At 35.7% G+C, this 17,060-nt stretch overlaps 1 protein-coding gene across 5 annotated transcripts in view; it reads right to left on the bottom strand.

Annotated features, from left to right (window-relative positions):
• MAN2A1 (mannosidase alpha class 2A member 1) overlaps positions 1–17,060 on the bottom strand; it is a 179,699-nt gene that overhangs the window by 141,675 nt on the left and 20,964 nt on the right. For 4 of the 5 annotated variants that reach the window (XR_007058604.1, NM_002372.4, XM_011543395.4 and 1 more), the window contains exons 2-3: positions 14,177–14,431; positions 11,687–11,831 (exon numbers count right to left, since the gene is read on the bottom strand). Coding sequence is in view for 3 of the 5 variants with exons in the window: in NM_002372.4 (NP_002363.2) it covers positions 11,687–11,831; positions 14,177–14,431 (400 nt within the window). In the remaining 2 variants the exon portion in view is untranslated. Of the gene's footprint in view, positions 1–11,686; positions 11,832–14,176; positions 14,432–17,060 lie in introns of those variants that run through there. The other variant, XM_024446048.2, reaches the window with a different exon arrangement.

The raw sequence follows: 17,060 nt of genomic DNA, 5'->3' as shown, positions 1-17,060 counted from the left end.
AACTGTGTCTATTTTTAAAACCTCAAAGATATTTCATGAAATGGTGGTCTGCAAAGAATCCCACCTAGCTTCACCAAAGTACTAACCTGGAACACTGCCCCCAGAGCACTGAGCCAGGATCCACCTCTGGATTCCCAGGGAATAGCCCAGAAAGTCCAACCAACCCAGATGCCCTAACTCCCTGATGACCATACCAACACTACCAAGTTAAAAAACATCAAGTGCTCAGAACTGATATCATCATCAGTCTTTAACTGCCCTTTCCCACATCTGTACAATTAAATTAGGTAAAGGGGAAATAAAAAATATTCTGAACACCCAATTTGTAAAGTATACAATTAAAACACTTATATAAACTGCTCCACATCTTAAAACATATATTGGTTACCCAAAATTTCAGTTTGCACTGAATTCACTCTATGCCCTTGTTATGGACAGATCTGTGTCATATGCTGAAGTCTCACCACCTCAGAATGTGACTGTATTTGGAGACAGGTCTTTAAAGAGGTAATTAAGGTAAAATGAGGTCATGAAGATACGCCCTAATCCTACATGACTATTGATGTACTTATAACAAAAGGAGATTAGAACACAGATACACAAGGAAGACCATGCAAAGACACAAGGAGAAGACAGCCATCAACAAGCCAAGGAGAGATGACCTCAAAAGAAATCAACCCTGCCAACACCTTGATCTTGGACTTCTAGCCTCGAACTGTGAAAAAAACAAATTTCTGTTGTTTAAGCCACTTAGTCTGGTACTTTGCTATGGCAGCCCTAGCAAACTTATTCAGCCCTAGAACAAATCAGCGTCATTACCATCCAAGAAATAAAGATTGCAATGTGGGAAGAATTTATTTTATCAAATATCAACATAATATTTAACTGAATATACTATATCTACCTACATATTGCAAAACTGAGCTAAATTCAAATGTACGTAAGTAAATCTATTTCTGTACCGTGCTTTTATTATACACGTGCAACAAGGACCATGTAAATGAAATGGTTCTATTAGAATTATCGTCTTTAAGATATCACATGATATCTTTTACCTAAATTTAAAGGTTCAAACTAATTCCTAATTATCTGGCTACTAGCTAAAGAACTATAAATAGTGAAATGCCTCCAAATTAATTTGATAATAAAACTCCAGTAATCTAGCATAAAAGGCAAATTTTTAAGGGTTAGTCTTTATGAAGATTGATAAGTAAAAGTTTTTTTGTATGTTTTTTGTTAAGCACAACTATTTATTTTCAACAGTTATAATCTGTGATGAATGAACTAAGGCCATTTCAAAAAAGAGTTTATCATGGGAGTTTTCACAGAGGAATCACAGTGATTGATTAGTCCATTTTGCCTTCAACACTTCATTCACCCCTCAACAATCATGAGGAAAATATGGTAAAGACATTCACATGAGCCAAAATACAAGCTCAGAGAGGTCAACCTGAAAGCGTTCCATAAAACTCATACTGATATCACCACCATACAGCATAATTAATGAAGAATGAACTGAAAGATAGCCTCTTGCAGCTTTCAGTACTGAGTAATATAACAGTAAATTAGCTTTTATTGCTCTTATACAACAGAGTAATCAAGTATTTCCTTTTACACTGAATTGGTTCTTTCGTTTTCTAAATTACTGTAAAAACTACAATTGTATATTAACATGAGACCAACCAGAAATATAGTATTTTATAAAAAGTGGTAGGGGATGAATTTTCATGACATAAAATTATATTCCTACCTCTAGATTTAATAATCTTAGGACACTGAGTTGCAAACTGATTTACTTAAGTGGTCAATTCACAGCTTTTTTTCTTTCTGTTGGAATATCCCTGAAAATTGAACGAGGGCTAGAACAGCATTAAGAATACCTTTCAATTTATTCTTTTCCATTCTAACACTATTACCACCCATAAAAAAGCTAATAGCTATTTTAAATAAGTGGGGAAATATTTAAAACAAAGAGTGCATAATTACAAGTTCCACAAAGCAGGCATAAACCCAAATTCGATACCACTATTTTTTTTTAAGTTCTAAAATAAAAAAAGCCAATAAAGCTGGAAACTCTATTGTCTACATTCAATGTTCATGAACAATTAAGCACCTAGTAACTGTTCACAAATCACAATTTATTTTTAAAATTTTGAGCTCTCAGCCATAGGTTGGAAATCTAGAGATTATGTGGAGTTCTGATGCTCTTCAGGAACATTTAGTTTTATTTGGTTCAAGGGCATATACACTAAGTACCACCATGAGGATGTGGGCAAGAGTTACCTGGCCCTGAGCCCTGGACTCTAGAAGGACCTCCCTATTCTTCTGACTACACCCCTTTCAATTGGATAAATCCACAGGACAAACTGACCCAGAGCCTGCCCTGCCCTTCTGAGTACCAGGGTCCAGAAATCTGTCTAAACAGCCCCAGACTGGAAGCCTACTGGGATTCTTATAAGTCTCTCCCCATCAGGGCACTTAACCCTAACAAATGGGACCGACCCTCTCTAGCCTAAACAGTGGCCAAGAGGCTGTAGTTTGTAGGGGTGTAGACCTGGCACCAGGACCGCTTCAATCAAGGTCCTTCCTGGTTTGGGACAGGGCCAGGCCTGGGAGGAGAAGGCAGCTGGCCTGCCCCACAGGCTGGCTCTCCCCATACACACCACCATATTCCAGTGGGGAACTAGAGCAACAGCAATCTAAACCTACATTTGGTCTTCTAGATCACTGAGCTATTTCTCCAGGCAAGAGGAGAAGACCTATTTTTCTTTAGTAATTTATTTCTTTGATTTATAACTTAAATGTTTAAACACAGGGTATGTGGGCCTCTGTGTACTTTGCCCCAGTTCCTGCAAATTTTAGAAGCAGGCCTGAGCACACATACCACTCAAACTTAATCTAGTATCTACTGCAAACATATAAGAGCAAGAGTTCAATAAGTACTTAATAAGATGAATGAAAGGTATAGCCAAAAGGACTAGGAAAAAAGTACAAATGCAAATTTATTACTTCAGCTAGAAATGAAACTAAAGATAAAATAATACAACCATATTAGCTTTAATATGTTCACTCTCTGTTCTGATGCTATACCTAATAATCATTGTCCATTATCTTTAAGTTTCCAAAATACTTATATTTTAAGAGGATCTGTGAGCCCTAAGATGATTAAAACACCCATCCCTAAGAAGGCACCCCGCTCCACAAAGCACTGTTACACTGCTATGGTTTTGATTGCTATAATAATGATTTTTTCTTTTCTTTTTATTTTTATTAATAACGATTTTTTAAGTATATTAATTCCACTCAAAAGTTAAATAAGCACCAATCTTCAGGAAAACATGAAAAGTTTTTGAATAAAAAATAATTATATCCAGATAAATAATACATTGGTAATAAACAACACATGCAACTTAAGCCTCAAGATTTTTTTTCCATTTCAATGTGATAAATATTCTCAAATTTTAAAATAAAGTTCATTAAAAACAGAAATATCCTTTCATCTAATAATTTATTTTCTTTTTTTTAATTTTAGATTCAAGAGGTATATTTGCAGGTTTGTTCCACGGGTATATTGCATGATGTTGAGGTTTGGGCTTCTATTGATCCCATCACCCAAATAGTGAACACAGTGCCCAACAGGTAGTTTTTCAACCCTTTCCCCCTTCCCTCTCTCCCTCCTTTCAGAATCCTCAGTGTTTATTGTTCTCATCTAGTAATTAAGGTATTTTCTATGAAAAAATGACGAACAGGTTTCTTCCATCACTCCTTAATCCTTCAATATTCAACTGCAACTTCTAGTCATATACTTATGGGGTAACATACAATCTTAAATGGTATTACTATTACTCAAATACGCTGCTGATTAATTTTAATTCCAACACTTCTATTATAAGTTAAGCTTGCTTTTCCTCCCTGATAAACTGTGAAAGAGTTTTAATTAACGTTCTGATTTATTCATTCAAACATGTACCTTGCATCTAATAAGGGCAAAGCAATAAAGCTAAATGAAAACAGATTCTACAGTGAAAATATGAATAAAATGCCATGGAAATAAAGAAATGGTAAAGTCTTACCAAAAGAAAAGAAGAAAGATTCTTAGATTAGTCATCATCTGGAGAGAGAAAAAGGGTGGTAGTTCCAAATAGAGGGAAGAGCATATGGAAAAGACAGGAAGTTGGTTATGGCTGCATTGCAGGGTACATGATGCAAATATGGTGAGAAATAAATATAAAAATAGAAGTGGGAGACAGATTATTGAAAACCTTCTAAACCATTCCTGTTTCTTACAGAGAACTTTGGAGGGAGGACATGAGGGTTTTCTGACCTGTGCTTTCAAAAATAACTGTACTAAGAGTGTGAAGACTAAAAAGGCAAAGTAGAAGCAGAGAAACAGAAAATGAGACCACTGCAAAATTCTGTAAAAAATGGTTATGGACTGCAGTTGAAATAAACAGAGGGAAATAAGAGGTCAAGGAGACAAAATGAAGAGAACTTAGTAATCGACTAAGTTTCCAAGAGAGGGTAAGAAGACAGTCACAGATGAAGCTGAGGCTTCCAGAGATCTGTGAGACTTGGAAAACCTAGAAACCTGCTGATGCCTCTAAATGCTTTTGAACCCAGGTTTCCAAAATAATCTAACCTGTTTTTCTCAGTTGATTCAGTGTCATTTAATAGTTTTCTAAGCATATCAGCTTTAATTCAATGAAGATATTTGAGAGAGATCATTTTTTGAATCCATATGAAGATGCTGTCACTGGAAATTTTACCCCACACCAGAGGAACCTATTTGCATTATTGTTAGGACAGCAGGCGTTTTGTTCATCCTGCAGCCCTATACGTACAATGTACAACTGTGACCCCTTATTATATTGCTTTTCTAAGTGCCCCTTAGAAGACCTGCATACTTTTTCTCATAGCTGCAATTGTGTGATCAATCTCCAAGATAATTTCTAAATCTGTGCTAAAGCTCCTCCCCTCCCTCATTAATGATCCCATCTATGAGCATCTAACACTGACTGACAATACTTCAGGCATAGTAAGTCTTCCCCAAACAGAGCTTGGTTATTTGAAATAATGAGAAAACTGTCTAAAATATGACAGACACTGTTAGAAAGAAAAGTGACTTTCTTTGGTGGGTTACTCTTAGGGTACACGAGGGGGCTACTTAGCTTTAGACAAATACTGGGCAAATTATCAAAGTCTCTAAAAGAAACCAACTTAAAGGCTGGAAAATATTGCTAGGTACGGTGGCTTAAGTCTGTAATCCCAGCACTTTGGGAGGCCAAGGCGGACGGATCACTTGAGGTCAGGAGTTCTAGACCAGCCTGGCCAACATGGTGAAACCCCATCTCTACTAAAAATACAAAAAAATAGCTAGGCACTGTGGCGTGTGCCTGTAATCCCAGCTACTCAGGTGGCTGAGGCAGGAGAATTGCTTGAACCTGGGAGGCAGAAGTTGCAGTGAACTGAGATTGCACCACTGCACTCCAGCCTGGGCAACAGAGCAAGACTCCATCTCAAAAAACAAAACAAAACAAAACAAAAGCTGGAAAATATTGCTTGTAAATCACTTTCTAATTGTAGAAAATGTGGCAATCAGGAAAATCACTCACTATCTCATGTACTAATATAGTATTTAGGGACAGAGACATTCATTTCAATTAAGATAAATCAGAAGGAAAAGAAGGATAGGAGATAGTGCAGTGAGATGTCCACTTTTGCAAGATAGCTGAAAAAAATCTTTTTTATGGTTAATAATACTAAAGTAGTTGACATTTGGCTTGGAAATACTTAAAAGACTTCCCTCCTATATGCTCAGCCTGTGGTTTCAGAAGAATTATCCAAAAAACGCAATATGTTAAAAACTGTTACAAGTACTGGTTCTGGAAAAAGATCACTTGATTTCAAACCTAGCCCTGCCATGAACAGATCACTTATGCTCTCTCCTGCCACTTCTCCCACATCTATGAAGGGAGGGTAATTACAGACTCTGTCATGAAGTTGCTGAAAGGAGTAATGGATGTGATATATGTAAAATGCCTAGAATAGTGCACAGAACATAATAATTCCCTAAGTGTTAGTAATTATTTGTATTACCAGGGCACTGGAGAGTTTTGAAGCACCCAGGCTTGAAAGACAGACAAAGGTAACTGAAACTGAGGAGAAAGAAGAGCTATTTAATGATCATCTAAATTTCTCAGCAGCTGCTTAACATATGTGCTCCTCAAAGAATAAAGTCCAATGAGAGACCAAACCATCTATTCTTCCTCTAAAACAGAATCTCAATACACATATTTTAGAGATCTCTAAAAACAGAATTCTAAATAGCCATACAGCGCCATTTAACTCAAGTGCTACAATTTTCTTAACAATTAAGGTTGTCAGATAAAATGCACAGCCAAGTTGAATCTGAATTTCAGATAAACAACAAATAAATGTTTAGTATAAGCATGCTGCATGTGATATTTGGGACACACAAACACACACACACAAACTACAAACACACACACACAAACTATTCATTGTTATTGAAAATTCAAGTTTAACTGAGCATTCTATATTTTTGTTTGCTAAATCTGACAACCCTATTAATAACCCAAAGTCCAGATAAATGTGTTAAATTAGCTAATGCCTACAACACAAGAAGAAAAGAAATAGAATAATTTGAACTAAATAAAGTATCTTAAGAGGCAATAAAAAGAGGTAAATGGAAAAAACACAGATTTTACAATCAGGCAATCCTGAGCTTCAATTCACCAACCTCTGAGAATTTATAATTAAATTAACTGACTTTGAACAAATTACCCTAACTTAGCCTCGCTGCCCTCACCTGTTAAATGTGGCTTCATTTACCACTTTTCAGGGTTAAAAAATCACACAAAGTAAAAAATAACAAAGACCTGCAACTCCCCTGATGCCGTACAGGCAATAAATGCCAGAACTCAGTTGTTCCGCATACGATTTTAGCTCCAGAAACTAAAATTTCCCATCATGGCAGCCAAAATCAAACAATCCACTTTATCCTGCAGTAGCTAAACCAAATAAAGTACTCTCCAAACAGTGTTCACGTACAACTTCTCCTTCCGATGACCATCTCATTCTGATCAGTAAAGTTCCTTTAGCAACCAGACTTCTAAGTCTCCACCACCTCTCATCAAGTTTGTCCAACCTGCAGCCCACGGGCTGCATGTGGCCCAGGACGGCTTTGAATGCATCTCAACATGAATTTCTAAACTTTCTCAAAATATTTTGAAATTTTTTTGCGATTTTATTTTTTAGCTCATCACCTATTGTTAGTGTATTTTATGTGTGGCCCAAGACAATTTTTCTTCCAATGTGGCCCAGGGAAGCCAAAAGATTGGACACCCCTAATAGAGATATTAGCCAACTATGACTGACCAGAACTATTTTCAAATTCTAACTATACTTGAAAATATTTGAATAGAAATATTTGGAAATATTACACTGATTTCCTCATGTTTTTATTCTTTTTTTACAAACTTTTTTAGAGGATACATAATTATCATAATACTAAATGCAAACATCTGTTTCTTAATTTTACACACACAAAAAAGCAAAAAGTCCTAATCACCCTCTGAGTCAATAAAAAGTTCTACAAAAGAATTGCAAATGTACAAAAGAAAATTATTTTCCAGTGTAACTCTTGGGCCTAGGTCTTCCTACTATTTTAGAGTCATACCACAAGGGGGATTATTTTCTAATGTTCATTTCACAAATTGCTTAACTAACAATATGCTGTCCAATCTTTCATTTAGTATACCTTATCTTCTCTCCACACACTGTGACTTCTTTGAAGTAAAATTAACCAAATATTTCAGCAGTTTAACTAGTGGGAAGCAAAGAATTAAGATTATAGATACAGAGGTGCTGTAATTGTGTTTTAATCAGCTTATTAAATACAACATGAACATGTATCAATCAACTAACATTTAATTTCATGGTCTATGATTCAAAACTTTCAAAAGCATAACAGTACAAAGTTATCAGCATTTACTTCACAATTCTTTTCCAATTCAGTTTTTACTCATGTAAAACACTTAAATATTTTATGACAATTGTTAGATCTTTTCAGACTGTAACATAATTTGGAATTTTATTAAAATACAAACATATTTTGAAATTTACCTTTTCTTGAGAGATATTACCAACTCAGTCCAAAAAGAAAAATATCTATATATAGAAAAACACAGCAACATAAATTCACAAAGTTGGGGAACTAAATATAGAAAATTTTTAAAAATCTATTTCAAATATTTCTATTCCCAATAGACGAAAATCCACCGATGAAACAAACTACTATGCTAAAGCTTGTTTTAAATTGTTGCTGCAGAAAATGCAAACAAATCTCTATAAATCTCATTTAGAAAGAACACTGCCTAATTGCACATTCATTTAGGAGTATTATACAAAGATTTCCCATTATAGTGTCACATTTTGACTTGCAGTGTATGTGAACACACTTTTCTCTTTTTCCTCTATTAAAAAAGAATGGCTTTTCATGATGTGAATAATTCAGTTTTTCACAGAATAATTTATTTGTCAATATTTTACTTTTGTTAAGTTAAGGAATAGTGAAAATTATTAAGTCAGTGGATTCTTCTCTCTAGCATTTTGCTTGACAGCAAAAATCACTGTAGTTTTAAAATGTTTGTTTCTGACAATTATTTTTTCCAAGTGGAGAAGGGTTTGAGAGTCAGGGTCATTAACATCTTTTACTAAGACAAAAAGATTCAGCTATAGTTACTAGGATACCAAAAGAGATTATAGTCAGGAATACTTACTAGGGATGTCTACTCAGAAGATGACCTACTAACTAAGCAGGAATAGTAATGCAAACAAACAAACAAAAAATCTAAAAATCGAGGGCAATCCCTGCCCTCAAAGAGCTTATTATTGCCTGTTTTTAGTACATAAAATTACAAAAGAGTACTTTAAATAAGTTTTTTTTTTTTTAAGAATAGAAATAAGTAGCCATCAGGAAGGAGGGAACTTAAAAGAAAAGCCTACGCCAAAGAATAAGTCAAATGTTTCATCCTAGTTTGAAGAGTCAGATTCATTAGCTCATTAACTTATTTAACCAAACTCTAATGACTCAGTACCATGTGCCAGTTATGATTCTAGGCATTCCCAACACAGCAGTGAATAAAACAAAGTTCCAGCCCTTAATGAGCTAACATTCTAGTGAGGAGACCAAGTAAAAGTGCTGTAAATGTTTACATCTGCGAAGACCTGCAAGCGTGGAGGCGTGTGTGTGCAGTATGAGTATGTGGTGGAGGGGCTTTGAGAAAGGTCAAAGAGGTCTTATTTATTTGGCAATTATTCTATATGCCAAGTGTTCAGCTAGGCCATGAGGAGAGTGTGTTTAATAGGAGGCATATGTTCTTTGCCGCTAGAATTTACTTTAGTGGGAGATCCAGGTAAATTGTCAGGAAAGTATTCTGGTGCCCCTTGTTAGCTATGTAACCTGGTAACACCTTCATCGTGAATCATGGCACTAACCTTCATGCGTATGCACTAAATGTTTGTAAAACATTTGGCATTCTGCCCAGTAAACCATGGATTTTATTATTACAGTTAAGTGCCCATGTATGGAATAACAAGAAATGAGATTGGTGAGAATTAAAAGTTGCAGAAAAAGGAAAAGAATAAAGGTCTTTTAAAAAATCAAGAAAAGGGAAGAAGTGGGCTTCATATGAGGAAGACTCACAAGACACACTTTGAAGTATATTTATAAGCCTACAAGGAAGATTACACTATGGAATCACATCACTCTCCCAATTAAGTAACAAGAATTAAACTAAACATGATTGGCAGAAAGAGAAGGGAGAACAACTTAGATATTACAAGTGGCTCTGCCACCATTTCACTCAATAATTGAATAGTCAAGTGATTATGAGATTTATAGAGAAAAAAAATCTGCAGTGCCATAAGCCATCTAGATCCTACATTAAGTGGGAGCACCTCACCTCACTGAGTGTGAGTCTAGTAATCAAAGATACGTGTTTTTCATATGCATCCCCTAAATGCAAATATACTAACTAATCTGCACTCAAGTGAATAAATAGCAAAGAAATTTGGATTACATGTAATTTTCATCACCTTTTATAATTACTTTATAACTAACCCTGGCTTAAGATGTTACTCCACCTGTATGATCTCCATTTTACAGATACACAAATCAATGTGCCCAAGGACACACAGGCAATACACCGCAGAGCCAAGATACCTGCCTCATTCTGCCTAGCTCCAAATCCCTGAAGTCCTTCCATGATGCCCAGCCTTCCCTGAGTTTTGATTTAAAAGGTACAGGCTAAGATTAAGGAGAAAGACAATCTAAAATATATATGAGGAAAACATAACACTAACAGGTATATGTAGGAAAAGATAAAGACATTAAGATCAAAGATAGGGAAATCAAGTCAGAAGGTGAGGTGTAATAACTGCTCATCACAAATTTCCAGAATATTGATTTCATATATTTTACATGTCAGTGCACACTAAATATTGCACTGTAGTCTAGAAATCCAAGCATTTCAATATCCAAGCTTGCAGACTACCTCTCACATCCAAAAGCAGCACACACGCACAAAAAAAATGCTTCACTAAATCATGTGTCCAGACCTAAAGTAACATATTTTGTTGTCTTCAAAATAGAAAAATAGGAATATCTGCCAATAAACTAATGGGGAAAAAATGTAAGTAGAAGATAAATGAATGCTGGAAGCAAAGAAAAAAACCTTCAAATTATTAGGTTACCAGTGCTTCTGACAGTAATCATGAAATCGAGATATTAAGAAAAGTAACACACTCCTTCAAAATAAGTCTTTGGAAATACACCCCCCTCTCCAATCCCCACAAAAAAAAAAATGCTGCAACTAAATTATCTGTGACTGGGTACTCAAACCAACAAATATGTATATCAAATCCTATGTCCCATTATAATTGAAACAACTTCCCCTCATCTTGGCAGGGCGGGGTCAGGGGTGGGGGAAGGGAGGAATCTGTGGTCCCAATAAATAAACGCCATCATATGCAGTAACAATAATGATAGCAGCTACTGTTGTGCCATACATGATTCTTTCACTTTGCACCCTATTGAAACAGATACTACTATCCTCATTCTACCAGGGAAAAAACTTGGTCTCAGAGGGATTAAGTAACTTGCCTAAAGTCATCTAACACTGATAAATACAGAGAGCTGAGACTCACATTCGTATGTGCCTGAAACCAATCAACACCAAGGTTCTTAAAGCATTTAATACTGCTTCTTTATTTTAAAGATTCAAACTTTCCCATGAGTATTCTGCCTTTTCTAAAAGTAGACCTCATAGACATGAAATAATTTTCCTATGCAATATTTTTTAAAAAGTTACTAAAATGAACAAGCAGTCTCTTAAAACTATATACTGTTTTGTCCCCAAAGGCAAGCCCTTCTTTTTTGTTTATTACCATTTCATACTGCACAGATACTATCCTTGAATGGCACATAAACTGATAAAATGAGAACACTAAAACATAATGACACATAAAAGGAATATATTAATGTTAAAAGTCAGAGAATAATGTCTCAAAAATTTGAGAAGTGGCCTCTACCAGATTCTCATTAAAAGACTCTAGGCCTAAAGAAACTTAATAACCTCCTGTCTTTTTGAAGTGCAAATTTTACCTGGGTCGTTATGGGAATGAGGCACCACAAAGACTTGAAGGGGTTCAGTGTCCCATTCATTAGATTCATAAGTAATGTCAAATCCTTGCTTCCAAACTCCACCATCTGGATTGTCAAAAGAAATTAGACTGTAAACATCCAACATCTAAAAATGTAAAAGAAAAAAAATTAAAGTTTAACAATTATTAATTTAATGTTGGTAAATATTTGCTCAAAATTATTCACTGCTATACTCTGCATATGTATTTTATAAAATAAAACTATTTCTGTAGACATTGAGGAGTTTAGAGTAGAAAATATTCCATCACCATTCAAAGGCTTGAAATGCTATTTGTGCTACAAAACTACCCTGACAAATAATCCCTCCCATCCGCTTCTAATAAAAAAAAAAGTTCATTCTATTCCTTCTTCTCCTACTTTACTTCCAAAACAATTTAATAGAAATTTATAGAAAAAGAACCATGAAAAAAATTTCTGATGAAATTTGATTATGACCAGATATTTCAGCATTTTCAAAAACAGTTCTGAAAATGATATTTTACTTTGTGCTATCTTTATTTTATAGTAAATCTCATGTATATTAAAAATCTATGCCTGAACAAAAATATATCTATCTATAGCTATTCTGCCATGTAGCATATGTTATATCTACCTATCTTATCCTAGAAGTAAAACTACAACAGGGTCAACCAGGCATAATCATCTAAAAATTGAGAAAAATTTTAAAATTGAGATTTAGCTTTTATGTATCCTATTGTTTTCTAGCTTTTCAATGCAGCATTCCTTCTGGCTAATAATGTTGGGATGCAAAGGAAAAAACGGTGGGAAAAAAACTAAAACTTTACTTTTGTTCTTCATAGTCTCTATAATATTAAATGTGACAACACAACCAAACAACCTTTTGTAAAATTTAAATTATGTTAAAACTAGACTGCAAAAATCACATCCAAATATAAGTTATAAAAAAAATTTAAAGGCCAAACAAATTATATGAAAGTCAATACAAAGTATTTTAAGCCAATAATATTTATCTCCCTATGGAATATATGAGTTTAATAAATAAAATAAAATCTTCTCAAGGATAAGCTGACAAATCTTTGGAAACAAGCTGGGCAGGAGGATGTGTTAGCAGTGTCTGTTTCTTCCTTCAGTCCTGCAGCTCTCCCAGTACCCTCCTGACTTGCTCTGCCTGACTTCCATGGTTGCTCTGCAACTCCTTTCTGTCCAGCCCAGATTTAGACCACACAACAAAAATAATTTTTTTTTTTTTTTTTTGCTGTTCCCTTATCATGGATGACAACAAGGCTAGGTACTCAAGAAGTACTCAACAAAAAACTAAATAAAGCCAAACCTCACAGAAACAGCTATCCCTGTAAGCACAGGATTCTGATCCTATCAGAATCTGGCTACACTCTAGCTGATGAGGTTGCAGGTGCAAGACCTGGCCAGCTCCACTGTCCCCAGCTTCCAGCTTGGCCTGTGAGCCACGACCTCAAGATCATATCATGTTCTCTGCCCTCAGCAGTTAGTGGAAAGTACATATTCGAAAACGAGGCCAGAAGCCAAATAATTTTGTCCAACTTTAAAATATTTACCCCTTAGGATCCTTCCCCCAAAATCCAGTTTCTGGTCTAAGGCACAAGGTTAAACACAGCCTTGCCCTAATTTGCAGAGCCAATGTGAGTGAAACACTCTGAGTTTAAGAAAGGCAGAAGTCCTTTCCAATGCTGGTTTTCGACTCCATTGCCCTCTATAATAGCGCTGTCCAAGAGAAATATAATACAAACCAAATTTTTAATTTTCTAGTAAAACAAAGCAGTTGAAATTAATTTTAAAATTTCATTAATCCAGTATATCCAAAATATTATCTTAACTCATAATCAATATATAAATGAATTAAGATATCTTGCACACTAAGTTTGAAACACTGTGTGTGTACATTACACTTACAGCACATATCAAGCCACATTAGTCACATTTCAAGTGCTCAGTAGCCACACGCAGACAGGGGCTTCCATACTGGAAAGTACAGCTCTAGAATATTTCCCTTCCCTCTTGCAAAAGGATATTAAGAAAAAAAAAAAAAAGTCTAACCTTACTTTGTACAAAATCTATAATGTACAACTGATATATAATAAGAACATGGATTTTCTTGTATTCTCCAAAGGAAGGTAAAAAAAAATCTCTGGCAAAATTTAAACCTTTAAAGGTTTTCAACTATTACAGAAAATAAGACCTGAAAAGCATACAAAAAGACTGTATTCACGTAAGTATAAAATAGTAAGATAAACTGAGAGAAATAGAATTATGGAATTTTATCACTAAACAGAACATTAATGTTCATGTGACTAATCAAAATACTTTACAAAAAGAGAAACTAGAATCCAAAGAGTTTAAGCAACTTACCAAGTCAGAACAGACATCAGGTCAAATCTTAAAAAGAACAAAAAAAAAAAAAGGCCAGTGATTATTAACGAATGTATACATTACCTGCACATCTGAATTGTGACTTCCACTTTGTGAAGCAAACAGACAGTCTGCAGTGTCAACTGAGAGGGATAATTGTGAGGGCAGAAGATGTGAGCCAGCACCTTGGCTGAAATTGCTTTGTGAACTTTTCGGACCATCCTCCACAGACTCACTCAAATTGATGACTGAGTCTCTAATATTTGAGATGATCTCATTATTCTCAGCTAGCAAACGCTCCAAATGGTCTATTTTTTCTTGCAACATTGAGAGCTGGCCCTACAATAAAAAAGAAAAAGGCAGCTATATGAAATACTAATATAGATCTGCTGAGGCATACACATTTTTTTTTTTAAATTATGTGGTTGCCTACGAGGGCAGCCACTCACCCTTCACTTTCCACTTTTATAAGTGGGATCGCAGAAAGCATGAACAGCTGGCAGGGTTGAAACACCAATTTACAGCAGAAAATCTTCTCCGCGGCTGCAATCTTTGCTTAATCATATTTTAAGACGTGCAACAGAAAGACCAAAAATATTTTGGGAAATATTTCTGTTCCCCCCAAACTCAGTCCTAAAATATCTTTGGGTCCCTGGAATCACTGTACAACAGCATATTATATTCAGGTATGAAATTTTTAATTTAAGTATAATTGACTGGAGTTACTCACAAGGGTCAAAAAAGTATGAACTTGAAAAAGATCATTCCATCTCAATCCCTTAACACTAGTGGATAATCCTAAATAAGAAATATCATCTATGGAAAAATCAATTAGTCAATTCAGCCATAAGCATGAACATCTCCCAAGTAACCATACCCGAAGTCATTCAGTCTGCTTTTGCTATACTGTGTGTCTTAAATTTTTTTCATTGATCCTCACATTAAGAGGGTTGCCATCTCTGTAACATAAACCTCGTTATACAAAATAATACCTCACCTTATGAGAGCAGGGACAATCTTTACCTTGTTCACCCCTATATCCTGGGTTCCAAGTACATAGAAGGTACTCATTTATTTGTCAAATGGCCCTCATATTTCTGAAACTCAACAATAATTCTTTAGTGAATGGCCACTGTGTCAGGCATGTATGCTAGGAAGACATGCATAAGATACGGGCCCCTGTCTTTGAACACACAAGGTGATGTTATAACTAGCAAAAGCCTCAAAAAACCCACATTAAGGTTTTAAAAAACTACATGCATGGTGAACAAACAACTCTGGATACTCATTACCAGGAAATAACAGGAAAGCAGAAAGGAAAGAAGGAAGAAGAGAAAAGAGAAAAGGATAGAAAATATCCAAACGCCCAAAAGTAGGGGACTGGTCAAACGATAGATTCATTATCATGGAAGGGATGTCAGCCACTGAAAATTTAGAAATATAAATTGTTTTAAAATAGAAATGTAAGGAAAGGTATTTTCAGAAGATAAAGTAAGGAAAGGTATTTTCAGAAGTGGTGAAAAGGCAGTTTAAAAATAGTATGTATGACATGATATGCTTTAGGAAAAAATATGAAAGACCATATAACACACAAGATATAAGGTTTATACTCACAGGTTATTGGTCAGTTCAACAAGGGGAAAGGGAGAAGTTAAGAGACTGAGATCTACCAAGAAAAGGCCAATCATTTGAGCAAACTATGCCAGAATTGGCAGAAGTCCGAAGAGACTGCAACAGATTTTGGAATTAAAAAAAAAAAAAAAGTAGCCAAAATTAGCAGCAAATCACTGGGGGTGGCAGTGGTTGGGGGCAATACAACACTAGGGGTGAATATCTACAGCCTGATGCTAGAGAAGAAAGGAGCACAAGACAGCCATGTACCTTCTCAGACCTGAAAGATGCTCTCACAGGCCTCTCTACTTAGAAGCACATAACAGAAAGAGCCCCTCTACACATTAAAACTATAGTCCTTTAAAGGCAATTGTCATCTCTAAGATGGGGTGGGGTGATAAGTCACCACAAGATAGAACTCTAAAGCCTGTTTATCAGCATACACAGAGACAAGAAAAAGTTTTAGCACAGGTCCCATCCTGAAAGACAAGCCCCACTGCACCAGTGAAAGGCAAGAGAGGGAGCACACATCACTTTACAACTGGAAATGGCAAAGCAAAGGAAATGGGAGATGAGTGCAACACTAGTTCAGGGCTCAAATAGAGAAGCTAGTTGAACCATGTAGATTCCAGATCCTCAGAGCTGTCGAGTAGTATCGTCCTATAAACCTTTACACCCTTCTTTGTAAGTGCACATCAACATTGGTTACAAGTGATTCTCCATGAAAAGACGAAAGGGGATCCCTTGGCATAACCCAAAGTTCAACCCAAAGAAGCTAAAAATATTTGAGTCAGGTACAGTTGATGAATCTGTATATATTTTCCTAAATACATATGCTATCAAAGGCTGTCTGAAATAGGGGAAATGCTTTTCTTCACTTATCACAACACCACAGACTGCAGCTTTTGAAATCCCTTCTGATAGATTCTGTTGAATAATTCCAATACTGAAGATACAAATTTACCACAGCAGGTAATGGTAAATCAAGTTACTCTTATTACAAGCAGTATTAGAACATGTTGATTCATCTCGCCAGCAGTACAGCTACACATCTTCATAAAATAAAACATTACCTTAATCTAAAATGCCATCACCACAGAGCTTTTAAAGATACCACATTTTGTCCGGGCACGGTGGCTCATGCCTGTAATCCCAGCACTTTGGTAGGCTGAGATGGGTGGATCACCTGGTCAGGAGCTCCAGACCAGCCTGGCCAACATGGTGAAACCCCATCTCTACTAAAAATACAAAAATTAGCGGCTGAGCGCGGTGGCTCACGCCTGTAATCCCAGCACTTTGGGAGTCCGAAGCGGGCGGATCACCTGAGTTCGGGAGTTTGAGACTAGCCTAGCCAACA

This window comes from Homo sapiens, chromosome 5, assembly GCF_000001405.40.
Source record: "Homo sapiens chromosome 5, GRCh38.p14 Primary Assembly".
NCBI classification, from domain to species: Eukaryota; Metazoa; Chordata; class Mammalia; order Primates; family Hominidae; genus Homo; species Homo sapiens.
This window is presented reverse-complemented; position numbering and strand designations above follow the sequence as displayed.